General features: G+C 42.0%; 1 protein-coding gene across 2 annotated transcripts in view, besides 2 other annotated features; it reads right to left on the bottom strand.

Annotated features, from left to right (window-relative positions):
- BMPR2 (bone morphogenetic protein receptor type 2) overlaps window positions 1-20,216 on the bottom strand; it is a 191,423-nt gene that overhangs the window by 143,805 nt on the left and 27,402 nt on the right. The window lies entirely within an intron of this gene.
- Window positions 3,794-4,665: an enhancer, noted in NCBI's record as "H3K27ac hESC enhancer chr2:203284003-203284874 (GRCh37/hg19 assembly coordinates)". NCBI's record gives its function as "activates a minimal SCP1, AML or CMV promoter by ChIP-STARR-seq in primed H9 embryonic stem cells {active_cell/tissue: H9 hESC(primed)}" and the evidence as "EXISTENCE:reporter gene assay evidence [ECO:0000049][PMID:30033119]".
- Window positions 6,414-7,287: an enhancer, noted in NCBI's record as "H3K27ac-H3K4me1 hESC enhancer chr2:203281381-203282254 (GRCh37/hg19 assembly coordinates)". NCBI's record gives its function as "activates a minimal SCP1, AML or CMV promoter by ChIP-STARR-seq in naive H9 embryonic stem cells {active_cell/tissue: H9 hESC(naive)}" and the evidence as "EXISTENCE:reporter gene assay evidence [ECO:0000049][PMID:30033119]".

The raw sequence follows: 20,216 nt of genomic DNA, 5'->3' as shown, positions 1-20,216 counted from the left end.
GGGCCACCACATCCGTGGTATGTAATTAAACAAATATAATTTTTGTATATTTAGTAGAGACAGGGTTTCGCCATGTTGGTCAGGCTGGTCTTGAACTCCTGGCCTCAAGCAATCCAACCACCCCGGCCTCCGAAAGTGCTGGGACTACAGCCATGAGCCACTGTACCTGGCCTTTTATCATTTCTCTTTTAGAGAGGAGGTCTTATGCTATTGCCCAGGCCAGAGTACAGTGGCGCCATCATAGCTCACTGCAGACTCGAATTCCTGGCTGAAACGATACCCCTGCCTCAGCGTCCTGAGTAGCTGGGACCACAGGCGCACGCCAACATCCCGAGAAATTTTTAAAATTTTTGTAGAGACAGAAAAGGGTCTTGCCACTGTGCCTAGGCTGATCTTGAACTCCTGGGCTCAAGCAATCCTCCCACCCCATCCTCCTCAACTGCTGGGATTACAGGTGTGTGCCACAGTGCCTGGCCAATGAAAAAAGTTTTTAACACCAAGAAGCAAGATGCTGTTCTCTTTCTGGCATCCTTTCAAGGAGACACAGCCCCCGTGTCTGAAGTGGGAGCCAAGTTCTGATCTCCTTCTCACATGGTCACTTTTGGACCCTGTCAGCCTGGCAAGAAATCATGGGAAAAACTGCCAACTTCTGGCCCCAGAGTTCAGTTAGGTAGAACACTTTGCTTTTCTATTCCAAGGAGGTGTTAAGCTTCATTTTTGAGCCTAGCCATGTTATTTTTTAGTATTTCACCTGTCAGCTGGGCATGGTGGCTCACACCTGTAATCCCAGCACTCTGGGTGGGCGAGGAGGGTGGATCACTTGAGGTTTGGAGTTCAAGACCAGCCTGGCCAACATGGCAAAACCCTCCACTAACAGTCCTTGGGTCATCATCTGATCCTTACATCTTTGTTGCTACTTTTTACTAATATCTAGCTCCCTATCTTTATTATTTTAAAAGAATATACAGGCCGGGTGCAGTGGCTCATGCCTGTAATCCCAGCACTTTGGGAGGCTGAGGCAGGTGGATCACCTGAGGTCAGCAGTTTGAGACCAGTCTGGCCAACAATGGTGAAACCCCATCTCTACGAAAAACAGAAAAATTAACTGGGTGTGGTGACATGTACCTGTAATCCCAGCTATTCAGGAGGCTGAGGCAGGAGAATCGCTTGAACCCACGAGGCAGAGTCTGCAGTGAGCTGAGATCATGCCACTGCACTCCAGCCTAGGAGACAGAGGGAGACTCTATCTCAAAACAAAGCAAAACAAAACAAAACAAAAACAATTTACAAACTTCACTGAAGATCAGACACTGGAAATGGCTAACTTAAAAAACTTTATGGCCGGGCACGATGGCTCACGCCTGTAATCCCAGAACTTTGGGAGGCTGAGGCAGGCGGGTCATGAGGTCACGAGATCGAGACCATCCTGGCTAACACGGTGAAACCCCGTCTCTATTAAAAATATAAAAAATTAGCCGGGCATGGTGGCGGACACCTGTAGTCCCAGCTACTCGGGAGGCTGAGGCAGGAGAATGGTGGGAACCCGGGAGGCGGAGTTTGCAGTGAGCCCAGATCGCCCCACTGCACTCCAGCCTGGGCGACAGAGCAAGACTCCGTCTCAAAAAAAACAAAAAAACAACTTTATGATGAGTACTTTGAATCAGCTACAAGACAAATAGCAGCTGTCATTCACATGTATCTTTGAAAGTGTTTTCTGCTTACTAAAGCAAGCTTTAACGGCCGGGTGCAGTGGCTCACGCCTGTAATCCCAGCACTCTGGGAGGCCGACGCGGGCAGATCACGAAGTCAGGAGATCGAGACCAGCCTGGCCAACACGGTGAAACCCTGTCTCTACTAAAAATACAAAAATTAGCTGGGTGTGGTGGTTTGTGCCTGTTATCCCAGCTACTTGGGAGGCTGAGGCAGGAGAACCGCTTGAACCTGGCAGGCGGAGGTTGCACTGAGCCGAGATCGCACCACTGCACTCCAGCCTGGCAATAGAGCGAGACTCCATCTCAAAACAACCACCACAACAAAATACAAACTTTAAAATGACATTACATGTTATTTACTCTACAGTTACCTATCAATTTCTTGAGTACTCCTGCTCAACCCATCCCACATTAAAAAAGAAAATCAAAAGTTCCCCCAGTTGTGTTTTCCCAACATCTATGAATCTTCTAGTGGAAGTGACTTTTTTTTTTTTTTAATGGGCAGAGACTGGGAAAGGGAAGCTTCTAGTCTACAGTTAAAGTCTAGTTCCATTCACCTCCCTACTTCCAAATTCTTTTTTTTTTTTTTTTGAGACGGAGTCTCACTCTGTCGCCCAGGCTGGAGTGCAGTGGCACAATGTCCGCTCACTGCAAGCTCTGCCTCCCAGGTTCACGCCATTCTCCTGCCCTTCCAAATTCTTAAAATTCCTCTCTGCCAAGCACCATTCAGTCTTGTATAATGCAAAACTTGTTTTAAAAAAAAAAAAAAAGGTGGGGGCGGGTAGCTTTGCTATCAAATACTATAGTGCTAAGAATACTAGTTACAAAGTTAAATTTCTGGAGAAGAAAGCCTTCTGTGATGATAACTGTACATCTGCAAATAGGTCCTGACCTGGTTTTAAACTTTTTTTTTTTTTTTTTTCCTTTTGGAGATGTGGTCTTATTGTCCAGGCTGGCCTCAATATAATTTCTCCCTTTTTTTGAGATGAAGTCTCACTCTGTCGCCCATGCTGGTGTGCAATGGCACTATCTCAGCTCACTGCAACCTCCGCCTCCTGGGTTCAAGCGATTCTCCTGTCTCAGCCTCCCGGGTACCTGGGATTATAGTCGTGTGCCACCATGCTCGGCTAATTTTTTTGTATTTTTGTAGAGACGGGGTTTCACCATGTTGGCCAGGCTGGTGTTGAACTCCTGACCTCAAGTGATCCACCCGCCTCGGCCTCCCAAAGTGCTGGGATTACAGGTGTGAGCCACCATGGCTGGCCTCAATTTCTCTTTTTTAAATGAAGCCTGGTAACATTTTTGTTCCTTCTAAGTTGGACCTCATAGATTAAAGGAATCAATTACTAAATATTGCATTATATTGCCTTAAAAACTCCTCATCCTGGCTGGGCGTGGTGGCTCATGCCTGTAATTCCACCACTTTGGGAGGCCAAGGCAGGTGGATGACCTGAGGTCAGGAGTTCATGACCAGCCTGGCCAACATGGTGAAACCCCATCTCTACTAAAACTACAAAAATTAGCCAGGCATGGTGGCATGCACCTGTGGTCCCAGCTACTCAGGAGGCTGAGGCAAGAGAATCACTTGAACTCGGGAGGTGGAGGTTGCAGTGAGCTAAGATCATGCCACTGTACTCCAGCCTGGACGACAGCAAGACTCTGTCTCAAAAAAAAAAAAAAAAAAAAAAAAAAAAATCATGCTTCTACAGATGTTTGCATACTCCAGACAGGACGTATAGGGTTATAAACGCATATTTAGTAATGTTAGCAGGCCTCATCCTTCAACTTAAACCCAAAAACCTTAACTGTAAACAATGTTAGAAAGGAGTCTGAATGTTTTAAGACAAAGCAATAAAATTCACAGTTTCTCTGTATAAATTATTTTAATTAACTATACTATCTTATTTAATAAGGATATTCTCAAGTTTAATTTTGTAATTGCTCATTATTTCTTTGAATAAATGTATTTTGAATAGATGTTTATAAAGCTACCTTTTGATGGTCAAGAGTCTTTTGTATTTTTTTCTTAGTCTTTTATTTTTTGTTAGATACATCCTAATTTCCCTAATTATTATAAGCAATAAGCAACATAAGGCAATTAATTATTCAATTATAACTCTAGAGGAAAAATGGAAGGGATAAAAGCATTATTATGAAAATCTTCTGATTTCTTTACAGCAAATGACTATCATTCCATTCCCTTTGGGATTTTTTTAATTTTTTAATATAATTTTTAAAATATGTAAAATAGATACGAGGTCTCACTATGTTGGCCAGACTGGTCTCAAACTCCTGGCCTAAAGCCATCCTCCTGCGTTGGCCACCCAAAGTGCGCGTATTACAGGCATGAATCGCTGTGTCTGGCCCCCTTGGGTTTTTAATAACCTTTTTTCTAATTTCTCATATTGCTTTTCGGGGAAAAGCATTGTAAAGAGTAGTGAAAAGCTAAAGAATCAACAAGACGCTGTTTTCTTCTAGAGACATTTGACACTCTAAACATTTAAGATCTTACTTATGGAAACTGAAATACTTCACTGTTTCACATTTCCCAGTTAAGACTTCATTTAAAAAAAACATACACCAGGTGCAGTGGCTCATGCCTGTAATCCCAGCACTTTGTGAGGCCGAGACGGGTGGATTACAAGGTCAGGAGTTCAAGACCAGCCTGGCCAAGATGCTGAAACCCCATCTCTACTAAAAATACAAAAAGTAGCCAAGCATGGTGGCACGCGCCTGTAATCCCAGCTACTCAGGAGGCTAAGGCAAGAGAATCGCTTAAACCTGGGCAGCAGAGGTTGCAGTGAGCTGAGATCTTGCCACTGCACTCCAGCCTGAGTGACAGAGCAAGACTCTATCTCAAAAAATAGAAAATAAAAATAAATAAATGAACAAAAATAAACATAAATCCCAAAAGAAATTTTTAAAAACTACCTAGAAAATGTTACGCTAATTAGTACATGGCATTTTAAATAAGTGAATCGCTGAATAAAAAAGTAAATTGTTAAAACAAAAATACATAATGTTAAATTTGACTTTAAAATGAAGGCAATTTAATTTTCAAATAGAAAGATATGAGGGAAATCTTACTATTCTTGCCATCTGAGGACTAAACTCTGACCTTTTTCTTCTCCTCAAATTTCTATCTGAGGGACCTGGGGAGTCACGCCTTACAAACCATAGTCTCATCAGAGGGGTTTTATTTAACCCTACATAATGTGGCTTACCTGACTCTGACATAACATCACATGACAGATAAGGAAAGAAATCAGAATATTTTAACCCCAAATATGTTTATTTGCCATATCTTGAAATAGCCTACAAAGCTGTCTCTTGGGAAAATCCACATTCTGCAGAGAATCCCCTTCCCTTTCCAGGTCTTTTCCCTGATCCAGAAGAGAATCCACTAACAGTCTGGCACCTTTTAAAGACTGATAAGATACATTTACAATCTATTCTCTGTGAAGCCTGCTACAAGGAAGCTTCATTTGCATAAGAACCTTGGTCTCCCCCACCCCTTATCTTAACCCAGACATTTCCTTCTATTGATTCCAGGTCTTCAGAGGGTAACTTAACTACAAAATCTTTGAATCTGCCTATGACCTGGAAGTCCCCCCTTTCTGAACTGAAACAATGTTCACCTTACATGTGTTGACTGGTATCTATAACTTCTGCCACCCTAAAATGTATAAAATCAAGCTGTAACCCAAGCACCTTGGACACATGTTCTCAGGATTGCCTGAGGGCTGTGTCATGGGCCCTTGGTCACTCATATTTGGCTCAGAATAAATCTCTTCAAATATTTTACAGAGTTTGAGTCTTTTTGTCAACACATCTAATTAAATGTCAAGATAAATTTACAGATGCCTTTACTGTATGTCTTAGGCAAAACAGATAATGTCATCTAAAAAGAGATTTTTAATCTGCAGACTTTGGAACCAGACCCTGAGTTCTGGCTATTATATTGGGCAAATCACTTAATTTTGTCTGTTCTCACTCCTCATGTAGAAGGGCCTGGATGCTTTAGAAAGATTAGATAAGAAATACAAGCATACCTCAGTGATATTGCAGGCTTAGTTCCAGAACACTGCAATAAAGCAAATATCACAGTACGGCAAATCACATGAATTCTTTGGTTTCTCAGTACATATATAAGTTATGTTTATACTGTAGTCTGTTAAGTGGGCAATGGCATTAGGTCTAAAAAAAAACATGACGGGCCAGGCACGGTGGCTCACACCTGTAATCCCAGCACTTTGGGAGGCCAAGGTGGGCAGATCAGGAGGTCATGAGATCAAGACCACCCTGGCTAACACGGTGAAACCCTATCTCTACTAAAAAAACAAAAAATTAGCCGGGCGTGGTGGCGGCCACCTGTAGTTCCAGCCACTGGGGAGGCTGAGGCGGAAGAATGGCATGAACCCAGAAGGCAGAGGTTGCAGTGAGCCGAGATGGCAGCACTGCACTCCAGCCTGGGTGACAGAGTGAGACGCTGTCTCAAAAAAGAAAAAAAAAAAAGGAATATAGAAAAAGCCATGATCAGGCCCCTGCACTCCTGCCTTGGGACTCCGTCTCAAAAAAACAAAACAAAAAACGTAATGTACATTCCTTAATTTAAAAATACTTCATGGAAGGCTGGGCGCAGTGGCTCATGTCTGTAATCCCAGCACTCTGGGAGGCCAAGGCGGGCGTATCACCTGAGGTCGGGAGTTTGAGACCAGCCTAACCAACATGGAGAAACCCTGTCTCTACTAAAAAATACAAAATTAGACGGGCATGGTGGCGCATGCCTGTAATCCCAGCTACTCAGGAGGCTGAGGCAGGAGAATCGCTCGAACCCGGAAGGCGGAGGCTGCGGTGAGCCGAGATCGTGCCATTGCACTCCATCCAGCCTGGGCAAAAAAAGTGAAACTCCGTCTCAAAAAAAATAAATTAGCCGGGCATGGTGGCAGGTCCCTGTAATCTCAGTTACTCAGGAGGCTGAGGCAGGAGAATAGCTTGAACCTGGGATGCAGAGGTTGCAGTGAGCCAAGATCGTGCCACTGCACTCCAGCCTGGGCGACAGAGGGAGACTCCATTTCAAAAAAGAAAAATGTGCTAGGCTGGGCGCCACGGCTCACGCCTGTAATCCCAGCATTTTGGGAGGCCAAGGCGGGTGGATCATGAGGTCAGGAAATTCAGACCATCCTGGCTAACACAGTGAAATCCCGTCTCTACTAAAAACACAAAAAATTAGCCGGGCGTGGTGGCGGGTGCCTGTAGTCCCAACTACTCGGGAGGCTGAGACAGGAGAATCGTGTGAACCCAGGAGGCAGAGCTTGCAGTGAGCCAAGATCACACCACTGCACTCCAGCCTGGCCAACAGCGCAAGACTCTGTCTCAAAAAAAAAAAAAGAAAAAGAAAAAGAAAAAAGTCCTTTGTTGTCATTTAAACAATGTTTACAGCGTCTGCACAAGTAGATTCCACCTCAAGAAACAACTTTCTTTGCTCATCCATAAGAAGCAACTTTTAAACAGGGCACAGTGGCTCATGCCTGTAATGCCAGCATTTAGGGAGGCTGAGGCGGGCGGATCACGAGGTCAAGACATAGAGACCATCTCGGCCAACACGGTGAAACCCCGTCTCTACTAAAAATACAAAAATTAGCTGGGCGTGGTGGCACGTGCCTGTAGTCCCAGCTACTTGGGAGGCTGAGGCAGGAGAATCGCTTGAACCCAGGAAGCAGAAGTTGCAGTGAGCCGAGATCGCACCACTGCACTCCAGCCTAGCGACAGAGCAAGACTCCATCTCAAAAAAAAAAAAAAAAATTATCCAGGTGTGGTAGTGCACACCTGTAGTTCCAGCTACTTGGAAGGCCGAGGTGGGTTGATAAAGCCCAGGAGGTTGATGCTGCAGTGAGCTGTGACCACGCCATTGCACTCCAGCCTGGGCAAGAGTGAGACCCTTTCTGAAAAAGAAAAAAAAAAAAGCAACTCTTCCTCCATTCAAATTTTCTCATGAGACTGCACCAATTCAGTCACATCTTCAGGTTCAACTTCTAATTCTAGTTCTCTTGCTATTCCACCACATCTGCAGTAACTTCCTCCACTGAAGTCTTTAACCTATCAAAGTCATCCATAAAGGTTGGAATCAACTTCTTCCAAATTCCTGTTAGTACTGATATTTTAACCTCCTCCCATGAATCACTGATTCTCTTAAAGGCATCTTGAATGGTGAATTCCTTCCAGAATGTTTTGCATTTACTTTGCTCAGATTCAGAGGAATCACTATCTATGGCAGCTATAGCCTATGAAATATTATTTCTTAAATAAGATTTTAAAGTTAAAATTACTCCTGGATCCATAGGCTGCAGAATGGATGTTGTCTTACCAGGCATGAAAACAACATTCATCTCCTTATACATCTACATCAGAGCTCTTGGGTGATCGGGTGCATTGTCAATGATCAGTAATATTTTGAAAGCAATCTTTTTTTCTGAGCAGTAGTTCTCAATGGTGGGCTTAAAATATTCAGTAAGTCATGCTGTAAGCAGATGTGCTGTCATTCAGGCTTTGTTGTTCCATTCATAGAGCACAGGCAGAGCATATTTAGTATAATTCTTAAGGGCTCTAGGATTTTCAAAATGGTAAATAACCATCGGCTTCAACTTAAAGTCACCAGCTGTATTAGCCCCTAACAAGAGAGCTGACTTGTCCTTTGAAGCTTTGAAGCCAGGCATTGATTTCTCTCCAGTTACGTTTATTTATTTATTTATTTTTCTTTTGAGATGCAGTTCCGCTCTTGTTGCCCAGGCTGGAGTGCAATGGCGCAAACTTGGCTCACCGCAACCTCCGCCTCCCAGGCTCAAGCAATTCTCCTGCCTCAGCCTCCCAGGTAGCTGGGATTACAGGCATGCAGCAACACACTCAGCTAATTTTTTGTATTTTTAGTAGAGACAGGGTTTCTCCATGTTGGTCAGGCTGGTCTCAAACTCCCAACCTCAGGTGATCTGCCCGCCTCGGCCTCCCAAAGTGCTGGGATTACAGGTGTGAGCCACTGAGCCCAACAATTTCTCTCCAGTTATAAAAGTCCTAGATGGTATATTCTTCCAACATAAAAATGTGTCATCTACATTGAAAATCTGTTGAGATTCAGCCTCTACTAACTTTAAACTTTTCTTCTGTAGCTTCCTTACCTCTCTCAGTTTTCACAGAAGACTGAGGGGGCTGGGCACGGTGGCTCACACCTGTAATATCAACACTTTGGGAGGCCAAGGGAAGCGGATCACCTGAGTTCAAGACCAGCCTGGACAATGTGGCGAAACCCCATCTCTACTAAAAATACAAAAATTAGCCGGGCATGGTGGTGCACACCTGTAGTCCCAGCTACTCAGGAGGCTGAGGCAGGAGAATTGCTTGAACCCAGGAAGTGGAGGCTGCAGTGAGCCAAGATTGAACCACTGCACTCCAGCCTGGGCGACAGAGGGAGACTCTGTCTCCAAAAGAAAAAAACAAGACTGAGGGTTAGGGTGTTGCTCTGAGATTAGGTTTTGACCTAAGGGAATGTTGTAGTTAGTTTAATCTATCCAGACCACTTAAACTTTTTCTCTATCAGCAATAAAGCTGTTTAATTTTCTTATCATTCCTGTATTCACTGGAGTAACACTTTTAATTTTCTTCAAGAACTTTTCCTTTGCATTCACAACTTGGCTAACTGGAGCAAAAGGCCTAGCTTTCAGCCTGTCTTGGCTTTCAGCATGCCTTCTTCCCTAAGCCTAATCATTTTTAGCTTTTGATTTAAAGTGAAAAACGTGCAACTCTGTCATTCACTTGAACACTTAAAGGCCATTGCAGGGTTATTAATTGGCCTAAATTCAATATTTGTGTCTCAGGAAACGGGGAGGCCTGAAAACAGGGAGACAGGGGAACAACAGCTGATAGAACAGTCAGAACACAAACATTTATTAAGTTTGCCATTTTATATGGGTGTGGTTCCTGGTGCCCCAAAACAATTACAATAGTAACATCAAAGATCACTGATCACAAATCACTATAACAAATGTAATAATTAAAATGTTTGCAACATTGCAAGAATTACCAAAATATGACACAGACATGAAAAGAGCACATGCTGTTGGAAAAATGGTGTTGAGTGACTTGCTTGATGCAGAGTTACCCCAAACCCTCAATTTGTTCAAAACACAGTTATCTGTGAAGTGCAATAGTGAAGCACAATAAACAAGGTATGCCTGTGTATGTATATGTATATATGAAACATATATTAATAATATAAGGTTGGGCGTGGTGGCTCATGCCTGTAATCCCAGCACTTTGGGAGGCTAAGGTGGGCAGATCACTTGAGCTCAGGAATTCCACACCGCCTAGGCAACATGGTGAAACCTCATCTCTACTAAAAATACAAAAAATTTGGCGGCGTGGCAGTGCACGCCTGTGGTCCCAGCTATTCAAGAGACTGAGGTGGGAGGATCATTTGAACACGGGAGGTGGAGGTTGCAGTGAGCCAAAATAACACTACTGTACTCCAGCCTGGGCAACAGAGTGAGACCCTATCTCAAAAAAAAAAAGTAATATAATTAATAACATTTTTAATATATAATGAACAATATGTAATATATATTAGATAGATGGGTATCACACACATACAAATGATTCTTGTATGTTCTATATAGTTATTGCAAACACTGAATTAGTGAACAATGAACCATTGCTTCTAGGAGAAATACAAGGTTAGATTGCTATAAGCCTGTGCTCACCACATTTGCATTAACAGATCAATATATAATGTTGTTTTGTGTGCGTGTGATTGTTTAAAGTCACTTTAATATATTTTGTTGATGCACTGACACTCAACTCCTGGCTACCAGCACTATAATTCATGCCTGTATAACTCATGACTGACTGAAGATTATCTAACATAGGTATTTTCTCCCTAAGGAAAAGAGCTTTCTTGCACTTAGAACACCAGACAACACTTTAGCACTATATTTGTGGGCCATTTTGAACAGTGAAATCACCAGCAAAAAGCACAAAAATGAGAAAAATATGGCACTAAATGGGCCACGAACAGGACATTTGTTTATGGCATGAGACCTGAAACAAGAAGTCAGAATGTGGCCTTGTTTGACCTCAGCTGAGAACGTGTGCATCAGGTGACTTACATTTTTCACAGCTCTATAGATATCCTTATATGACTACAAAAACACTATGCATATTAATTTGGGGGTTACAAATAAATTTCAGTGAGTAGGAACATTTACAAATATGGAATCCAAGAACAATGAGAATCAACAGCATGTAAGTGTGTACACACACACACACACACAGCATATAGTACACATTAAACTAATACTTCTCCTCTTCCTGCCTTAATTTCATATTCTTACAACTATCAGTGAAATAGTAATTACTGAAGACCATAGGTATAAACATAAGAAAATCAGTTTGCACAAAAAAATGTCTAAAATAATGTGGTTAATGATTACATAAACTCTAGTATCCCTTTAAGATTTATTAGACCCAGATTATAAAATTTACAAAACTAAAAATTCCTGCTTATATTTTTATTGAGAAATATAGGTGCCAAATATAAATTATATTTTTTAAAGTATAACAGAAACGGCCGGGCACGGTGGCTCACGCCTGTAATCCCAGCACTTTCGGAGGCCGAGGCGGGCGGATCACGAGGTCAGGAGATCAAGACCATCCTGACTAACACAGTGAAACCCCATCTCTACTAAAAATACAAAAAAATTAGCAGGGCATGGTGGCGGGCACCTGTAGTCCCAGCTACTCGGGAGGCTGAGGCAGGAGAATGGCGTGAATCCAGAAGGCGGAGCTTGCAGTGAGCCGAGATTGCGCCACTGCACTCCAGCCTGGGCGACAGAGTGAGACTCCATCTCAAAGAATGAATCTGCCAAAAGTATTACCTGAAATTTATTGATAGATTTTGGTGATTTCGTTTTGTTTCTTTGTTTGTTTTTTGGTGACTTCATTTTACTATCTCAAGAATTCCTTCTATCATCTTAAATATATTTAAGATTATTAGAGACACATACGCATGTGTCTCTAATACATGTGTTTTCAACTTTTTAGTTGGAAAATGTTTTAAACTTACAGAAAAAATGCAAAAATAGTATAGAGTTTTTGTATAACCTTTACCCAGCTGCTCCTAATATTAACAAACCTTACATAATCACTTGCAATTATGAAAACCAGGAAATGTACACTGACACAATTAACTTCAATATAAGATCTCATTTGAATTTCATCAATTTTCCCACTAATGTCCTTTTGCTGGTCCAGGATTTAATCAAGAATTCCACAAATTGTAATACTTCTTTAGATCGCTCCAATATGCAATAGTCCCTCAGTTCTTTCTTGTTTATGACTTTGAGACTTTTTTAAAGTACTGGGAAGTTATCTTGTAGAATGTTCCTCAATTTGGGTTTATCTCTGTTTTCTCATGATTAGACAAAAATTACCTTTCCTGGCAAAAAATACCACAGAGGCGATGCTATGTCCTTCTCAGTGCACTGCATCAGGAAGCATCTGACGTGTTAAATAAACGTATAGAAAGCCACTGTTTTGGGCTGAGTTTCTACACTAGACTCCAACAGAGCACACAAAACCTGAATGGAGTCACTCCTGCTAGGCACCACATAATCAAACTGAACAATAAAATGGGCCAGTTTTCCAACAAACAGGCCATTCACAGCAACCAATCAGAAGGGGCCCAGTTTATTTGTGCTAGCAAGATAATGAAGTTCCTCTGTTTTAACCCTACAAGGAAAGTAATTTTGTAATGAGCAATCACTCTTTTTCCTTGTTTCTGCCTTCTTCAGCTTTTTTCTACCAATAAAGCCTGCCTCCACTGCTCAGCTCATTGGAGTGCCTTTGTAAATCTTTAGATGGGATGCTGCCTGATTCATGAATTGCTAATAAAAGCCAATTAATCTTTAAACTTGGTTTGTCAAAATTTTTGTCTTCTGACAGATGTCAATGTGTCACCAGGTTAGAGTGGTATATCCAGATTTCTCCAGTGTTACATTACAAAGGTTCCCCTTTGTAATGAATAAGTATTTTGTAGGGCAGATACTTAGAGCCTATTTAAATACCGTGTTTCTTACCACACTTTCACCCACTAATTTTAGCATCCATTGGTTGATTCTTGCCTGCAACAAGAACCTGCCATGGAGATCGCCTAATGATGATTTTCTATTTCCATCACTCCTTCTATTTATTAACTGAAATTCTACTGTAAAAACAAAAAAAGAGCTGCCTCTCAATTTTACTGTGAACATAAAATTGCTCTAAAAATAAAGTTTACTATTTTTTATTATTATTTTTAAAAATAAAAAGACTGGGCGCAGTGGCTCACGTCTGTAATCCTAGCACTTTGGGAGGCCGAGGCGGGCGGATTACGATGTCAGGAGATTGAGACCATCCTGGCTAACACAGTGAAACCCCATCTCTACTAAAAATACTAAAAATTAGCCGGGCGTGGCAGCGGGCGCCTGTAGTCCCAGCTGCTCGGGTGGCTGAGGAAGGAGAATGTTGTGAACCCGGGAGGTGGAACTTGCAGTGAGCCCAGATCGTGCCACTGCACTCCAGCCTGGGTGACAGAGCAAGAGACTGTCTCAGATAGCTAGCTAGCTAGATAGATAGGCTGTCCTTTCTCCCTTGTTTATATTAGTATGGACTCACTGATATTTATTATATTCTATGGATTCGAATCCAATACTATGATTATTTATTTTGTCTTAGCTTTGACCAATGGAACTATCTCTTCAAGTTGGTTAGATCCTTTCATATGCCCCTATCATTTTTTAGTTACTTTCTGATACCATTAAATGTTTCAGGTTCATTTTGATTTTCCCTGCCTCAGTCCTGGAATCAGTCATTTCTCAAGGGTTCTTATTAGTGGAGAATGTTATTTAGAAACCAAGATCTGGGGCCGGGCATGGTGACTCACACCTGTAATCCCAGCATCTTGGGAAGCCGAGGCGGGCGGATCACTTGAGGTCAGGAGTTTGAGACCAACCTGGACAACATGACCAAATCCCATCTCTACAGAAAATACAAAAATTAGCCAGGCGTGGTGGCAGATGCCTATAGTCCTAGCTACTAGGGAGGCTGAGGCAGGAGAATCACTTGAACCTAGGAGGTGGAGAGTGCAGTAAGCCAAGACCGTGCCACTGCACTCCAGCCTGGGCGACAGGGTGAGACACTGTCAAAAAAAAAGAAAAAGAAAAGAAATCAAGATCTGGGGCACTATTGTGGTCACTGCTACTGTGGTATTCCTAATTCTAGGTCCTCTCAGTGGAGAGAGTTAGGAACCTAGGTCTTATTATCCACAATATTTTCTAATTTGTTTACTGTTAAGTATATATATAAAGTAGAATTGCTAACCCCTGCCCCTATGAGAAAGAAACTTACTAATGACACCACAATATTTGCATATAATTCTTTTTGTCTTTAGCCTTATAATTTTCCAAAGTATCTTAGACAAGTTATTTTCTTCCCCAACCCCTTCAGTGTATTATCCATTTATAATACAATTAGGTTTGTGTGTTATTGTTTATATACCTTTTTGAGTTCTCCCCACATCCTGGTTGACCTGCATGATTCGTTTGTTTCGGAGATCATATGTCTGTCATTTTTGTTTTTGTTTTTGTTTTAATTAATAGAGACAGAGTCTTACTATTTTGCCCAGGCAAGTCTCAAATTCCTGGGTTCAAGTGATCCTCCTTGCCTCAGCCTCCCAAAGTGCTAGGATTACAGTCATGAGCCACCATGTCCAGCCTGTTTTACAGATCATATACCTGTGGGGTTTTTGGTTTTGGAAAATATAATTTTTTTGAAATATATGTGTAATCTTATATATATATTTTGAGACAGAGTCTTGCTCTGCATGAAGGCTGGAATGAAGTGGCGCGATCTCAGCTCACTGCAACTTCCCCGCCTTCTGGGTTCAAGTGATTCTCATGCCATAGCCACCCAAATAGCTGTGATTACAGGTGTGCACCACCACACCTGATTAATTTTTGTATTTTTTATAGAGACAAGGTTTCGCCGTCTTGCCCAGGCTGGTCTCAAACTCCTGGCCTCAAGTGATTCACCCACCTCGGCCTCTCAAAGTGTTGGAATTACAGGCGTGAGCCACTGCGCCCAGACTCATATACCTGTTTTGATGAACATTTAAGAAGAGTAGTTTGTTCCTTTGGCTAATTATGGGACTAGGAAGAAAATGCAGTATCTCCTTGACAAGGAAACACTCACACTACTCCTGATATTAATGAATCAACTGAAAACGTCCAGACATGTCCAGACATAGAATACAATAATATACCACAAAGCAGATAAAGCAACAGATAAAAACAAATTTTAAAAAATACTTATATGACCATTGTTTGATGTTATACCCTGTGTTTCCAAGATAGTTCAAGTGGAATGCGAAATAAAAACATGGATAATCTTCCTGTTTCCTTGTAGGTCCTACGCCCTATTTCCTGCTTCTTTCAAATCTCAAAGATAGAAGACTGATTACAGTGCCTGGAAGTCCTTCATGTAATTAATACTAATGCTTACAAGAACTGAATTTTTATTTATTCTAAAAACATTTGTTGCATGCCTCCCCTCTGTACCAGACACAGTGAGAAGTGCTTTATGTACTTTTATCTAACCAAATAAGTGCTTTGGAGAAGACCCATTAACTATGCTATGGTTCACATTGATTTGTTTCCTCTCTAGATTTTATACACCATTGTGCCAGTACAGTCAAGATCTGGTGATAATGAAAAGCTAACAGCAAAAATTTGTCAAAACTAACCTTTTATGAGAAACAATTTAACCTACTGGTGCACTTAGGTGGATATTTGATAGAGCTAAGAAGCAACCACAGACATATGGTTTCTGTGAGGAAATAAGAATATGAAATTATTTTGCCACCTAAAACTGCAAAAGTAAAAAGCACTTCATAGAAGAATAGTCTTTTAGCATTTTACCCAAAATCAGACATGACTATTCAGAGCTATACATTATTTTATACAACAAACAGATTTGGTTTTTCTCAATCTTGTTTTCTTTATGAAATCCTGAGTTAAAGCCCAGGCACGGTGGCTCACGCCTGTAATCCCAGCACTTTGGGAGGCAGAGGCGGGCAGATCACGAGGTCAAGAGATCGAGACCATCCTGGCTAACACGGTGAAACCCCGTCTCTACTAAAACTACAAAAAAATAGCCAGGCGTGGTGGTGGGCACCTGTAGTCCCAGCTACTCGGGAGGCTGAGGCAGGAGAATGGAGTGAACCTGGGAGGCGGAGCTTGCAGTGAGCCGAGATCACGCCACTGCACTTCAGCCTGGGCTACAAAGCGAGACTCCGTCTCCAAAAAAAAAAGAAAAGAAAAAGAAAAAGAAATCCTGAGTTAAAAGAAGTTATGCAGAATAAAGTATAAATACAGTTTTTTTTTTGTTTTTGTTTTTGTTTTGAGACGGAACTCCGTCGCCCAGGCTGGATCTTGGCTCACTGCAAGCTCCGCCTCCCGGGTTCACTCCATTCTCCTGCCTCAGCCTCCCGAGTAGCTGGGACTACAGGCGCCCGCCACCACGCCTGGCTGATTTTTTTGTATTTTTAGTAGAGACGGGGTTTCACCATGTCAGGATGGTCTCGATCTCCTGATCTCGTGATCCACCCGTCTCGGCCTCCCAAAGTGCTGGGATTACAGGCGTGAGCGACCACGCCCAGCCAAATACAGTATTATTAAGGAGCAGTACCTGATCACACCAAAATTTATGATAACCAACAAGGTGCCCCAAATGAACAAAACAAATATACGCATGAAGAATAACAGCTGAGGCCAGGCACAGTGGCTGACACTTGTAATCCCAGCACTTTGGGAGGCCAAGAAGGATGGATCAGGAGTTTGAAGTCAGGAGTTTAAGACCAGCCTGAGCAACATGGCAAAGTCCCGTCTCTAATAAAAATACAAAAATTAGGCCAGGTGCAGTGGCTCACACCTGTAATCCCAGCACTTTGGGAGGCCAAGGTAGGCGGATCATTTGAGGTCAGGAGTTCGAAACCAGCCTGGCCAACATGGTGAAACCCTGTCTCTACTCAAAAAAAAAAAATACAAAAATTAGCACATGCCTGTAGTTCAAACTACTTGGGAGGCTAATGCAGGAGAATCACTTGAGCCTAGGAAGCAGAGGTTGCAGTGAGCCGAGATCACACCACTGCACTCCAGCCTGGGTGACAATCGAGTAAGTTTGAAACTCTGTCTCAAAAAAAAAAGAAAAAGAAAAAGTAAAAAAGAAAAAAGAATAACACCTGAACAGGACTCCTCGGGTATACTAACCCAGACCTTAATCACTACTATCAGACAATTATAGCATTACTACAGCTTTAAGTTTATTACGCCATTCTTGCCATCCTTGCATAGCAGCCAGGGCACAGTAGCAACCAAGTGAAACACTTGAATTACCAAGTCACAGCCTCTAGTGTGTGCCTAACCCTAACTTGGAATGACACCATGATCCAAAAAGCCTGCCAATCTCTGGCAGAGGTTTATTTATTCATTGATGCTCAATTCTGTATGGTTTCCCCTTACAGCAGGGTAAAACCATAAGGGATAAGCTAACTGTACCTAGAGAGCAATTTTAATATGCTACAAATATTCCACACTCATGAAACTACATTCACTTTCCAGAAAATAAAACAGTAGGACTCCTGTTATGGCCTGGGCCTTAAATTCCTATTAAACAATTTATTACTGTATAAATGGTTAACAGCATATAACCAATTTCCTTAAACCCATAAAGCCTAGCATCCTCCTGACAAGGACTAGCCAGGGTTCTCAAAACAAAACAAAGTAAGAGCATCTTCTCTGCCATAGAGTACAAAGAAAATTGTATTAATTCTCACTGGAGGGGGTTGCTCACAGCCCCAAGGGGCTACAACTTACTCGGAACACAGAAAGAAGGCAATGGTGTTTTATGAAACTAACAATGAAGGAACCCTATTATATCCTTTATTTCTCCTATTACTTGCCTATATTAATCAACCACTTATGCTGGATATAATAACATAAAAGTAAAGGTAGAGATAGGGCCACCCATAATTCCTTTTCTTCTCAGTCCTTCCCTACTCATCAGTAAGCAGAAGGTAGAATGTTGGTAGAATATGTATTCATCAAGAAGTGAAATACAAACCACTGAGTTCGTTTGTACAGAGTTTCTACTGTTCTAGCAAAAACAAACTACACATGCAAGTGCAACTACAAAATGACTGTATAATTTCAGTTTCCACAAATGAGGTAAATATTCTTATATTTGCATTTTAAATGGACACTACACAACATATAGGGATGAACAGTAAAATACAGGCTAATGATTTAAAATTCTAATTTTTCTTTGCTTAGACTGACATTAGATGATAAATTTTTTTAAAATATGACAAGTTGAAGGAGACACTACAAAGAAAGAAAAAAGGTATATATTTTAGTACCTTTAGCAGCACATTTTCCCTGCTTTTTTTTTTTTTTTTTTTTTTTTGAGGCGGAGTCTCGCTCTGTTGCTCAGGCTGGAGTGCAATGGCTTGATCTTGGCTCACTGCAAGTTCCGCCTCCCAAGTTCATGCCCTTCTCCTGCCTCAGCCTCCTGAGTAGCTGGGACTATGGGTGCCCGCCACCACACCCATCTAATTTTTTGTATTTTTAGTACAGACGGGGTTTCACCGTGTTAGCCAAGATGGTCTCGATCTCCTGACCTCGTGATCCGCCCGCCTCAGCCCTCCAAAGTGCTGGGATTACAGGCATGAGCCACCACGCCCTGCCCCTTTTCCTGCTTTTTGAATAAGGGAGCCCCCATTTTTATTTTGCCCTGGGACTTGCAAATTATATAGTCACCCTACCAACAATCAACCTTTTCCTGTCTGGACTTCTACAGAATGAATAAAAATAAGATAGCAGAGGAAATGATGGAACAGTTAAACAGTTCTAATTACTGTATCTGACTTTTTTTTCAGGCTTCAGGACCACAAAACTTCATTAATGTCCAATTTATAGTACAATAAGAAAAAGCTGACCAATGTTGTAAATGGAGTTTAAAAAGTGCACAGGGCTAGGTGAGATGGCTCGTGCCCGTAATCCCAGCACTTTGGGAGGCTGAGATGGGAGGATCACTTGAGTCCAGAAGTTTGATACCATCCTGGGCAACATAGCGAGACCCTGTCTCTACAAAAAATTTAAAAAGTACCTGGACATGGTGCACACGCCTGTACTCCCAGCAACTTGGGAGGCTGAGGTGGGAGGATTGCTTGAGCCTGGAAGGTTGAGGTGCCAGTGAGCCTCCAACCTGGCACTCCAGCCTGGCAGAGCAAGATCCTGTCTTAAAAAAAAAGTCTCCACCCACATAAAGATTGGAACGATAGACACTGGGGACTCCAAAAGCAGGGAGGGAAGAGGGCACGGGTTGAAAAACCACCTATTGGGTACTATGTTTACTATTTGGGTGATGGGATTAGTAGAAGCCCAAACTTTAGCACCACCCAATATACCCAACCTAATATACCCAACCCATGTAACAAACCTTAACTATGAACTCCAAAAGGAAATATATTTATCTCGTTTATTGCTGTATCACCAATATCTGATGTTCATTAACTATTAATTCATAAAATAAACTATGATCATTGCTACTGCACACTCATCTACAAATCCATATACCTAGCAAAAGACAAATTTTAGGCCAGGCTCAGTGGCTCACGCCTGTAATCCCAGCATTTTGGGAGGCCAAGGCGGGCGAATCACCTGAGGCCAGGAGCTCGAGACCAGCCTGGCCAACATGGTGAAACCCTGTCTCTACTAAAAAAATATATAAAAATTAGCCGGGTGCAGTGGTGCATGCCTGTAATCCCAGTTACTTGGGAGGCTGAGGCAGGAGAATTGCTTGAACCAGGGAGGTGGAGGTTGCAGTGAGCCGAGATCATGCCACTGTACTCCAGCCTGGGTGACAGAGTAAGACTCCATCTCAAAAAAAAAAAAAAACAACCCAAAGAAACAAGACAAATTTTAGCTCTAAAATGACAATAAGTCATTTTATTAGGGCTTAAAATTATATTTCTAATCACAGTAATTATAAGACTTACAAATTTGGTAAAATGATATTCAAGTATCATAGAAATATAAAATATAGAAAGTAAAAGCCCTTAATATCTCACTTTTTTTTTTTTTTTTGAGACGGAGTTTTGCTGTTGTTGTCCAGGCTATAGTGCAATAGCACAATCTCGGCTCACCACAACCTCCGCCTCCCAGGTTCAAACAATTCTCCTCCCTCAGCCTCCCAAGCAGCTGGGATTACAGGCATGTGCCACCACACCCAGCTACTTTTGTATTTTTAGTAGAGACAGGGAGTCTCTATGTTGGTCAGGCTGGTCTTGAACTCCCGACCTCATGTGATCACCCGCCTTGGACTCCAAAAGTGCTGGGATTATAGGCGTGAGCCACCACGCCC

This window comes from Homo sapiens, chromosome 2 (genome assembly GCF_000001405.40).
Source record: "Homo sapiens chromosome 2, GRCh38.p14 Primary Assembly".
Lineage (NCBI taxonomy): Eukaryota > Metazoa > Chordata > Mammalia > Primates > Hominidae > Homo > Homo sapiens.
This window is presented reverse-complemented; position numbering and strand designations above follow the sequence as displayed.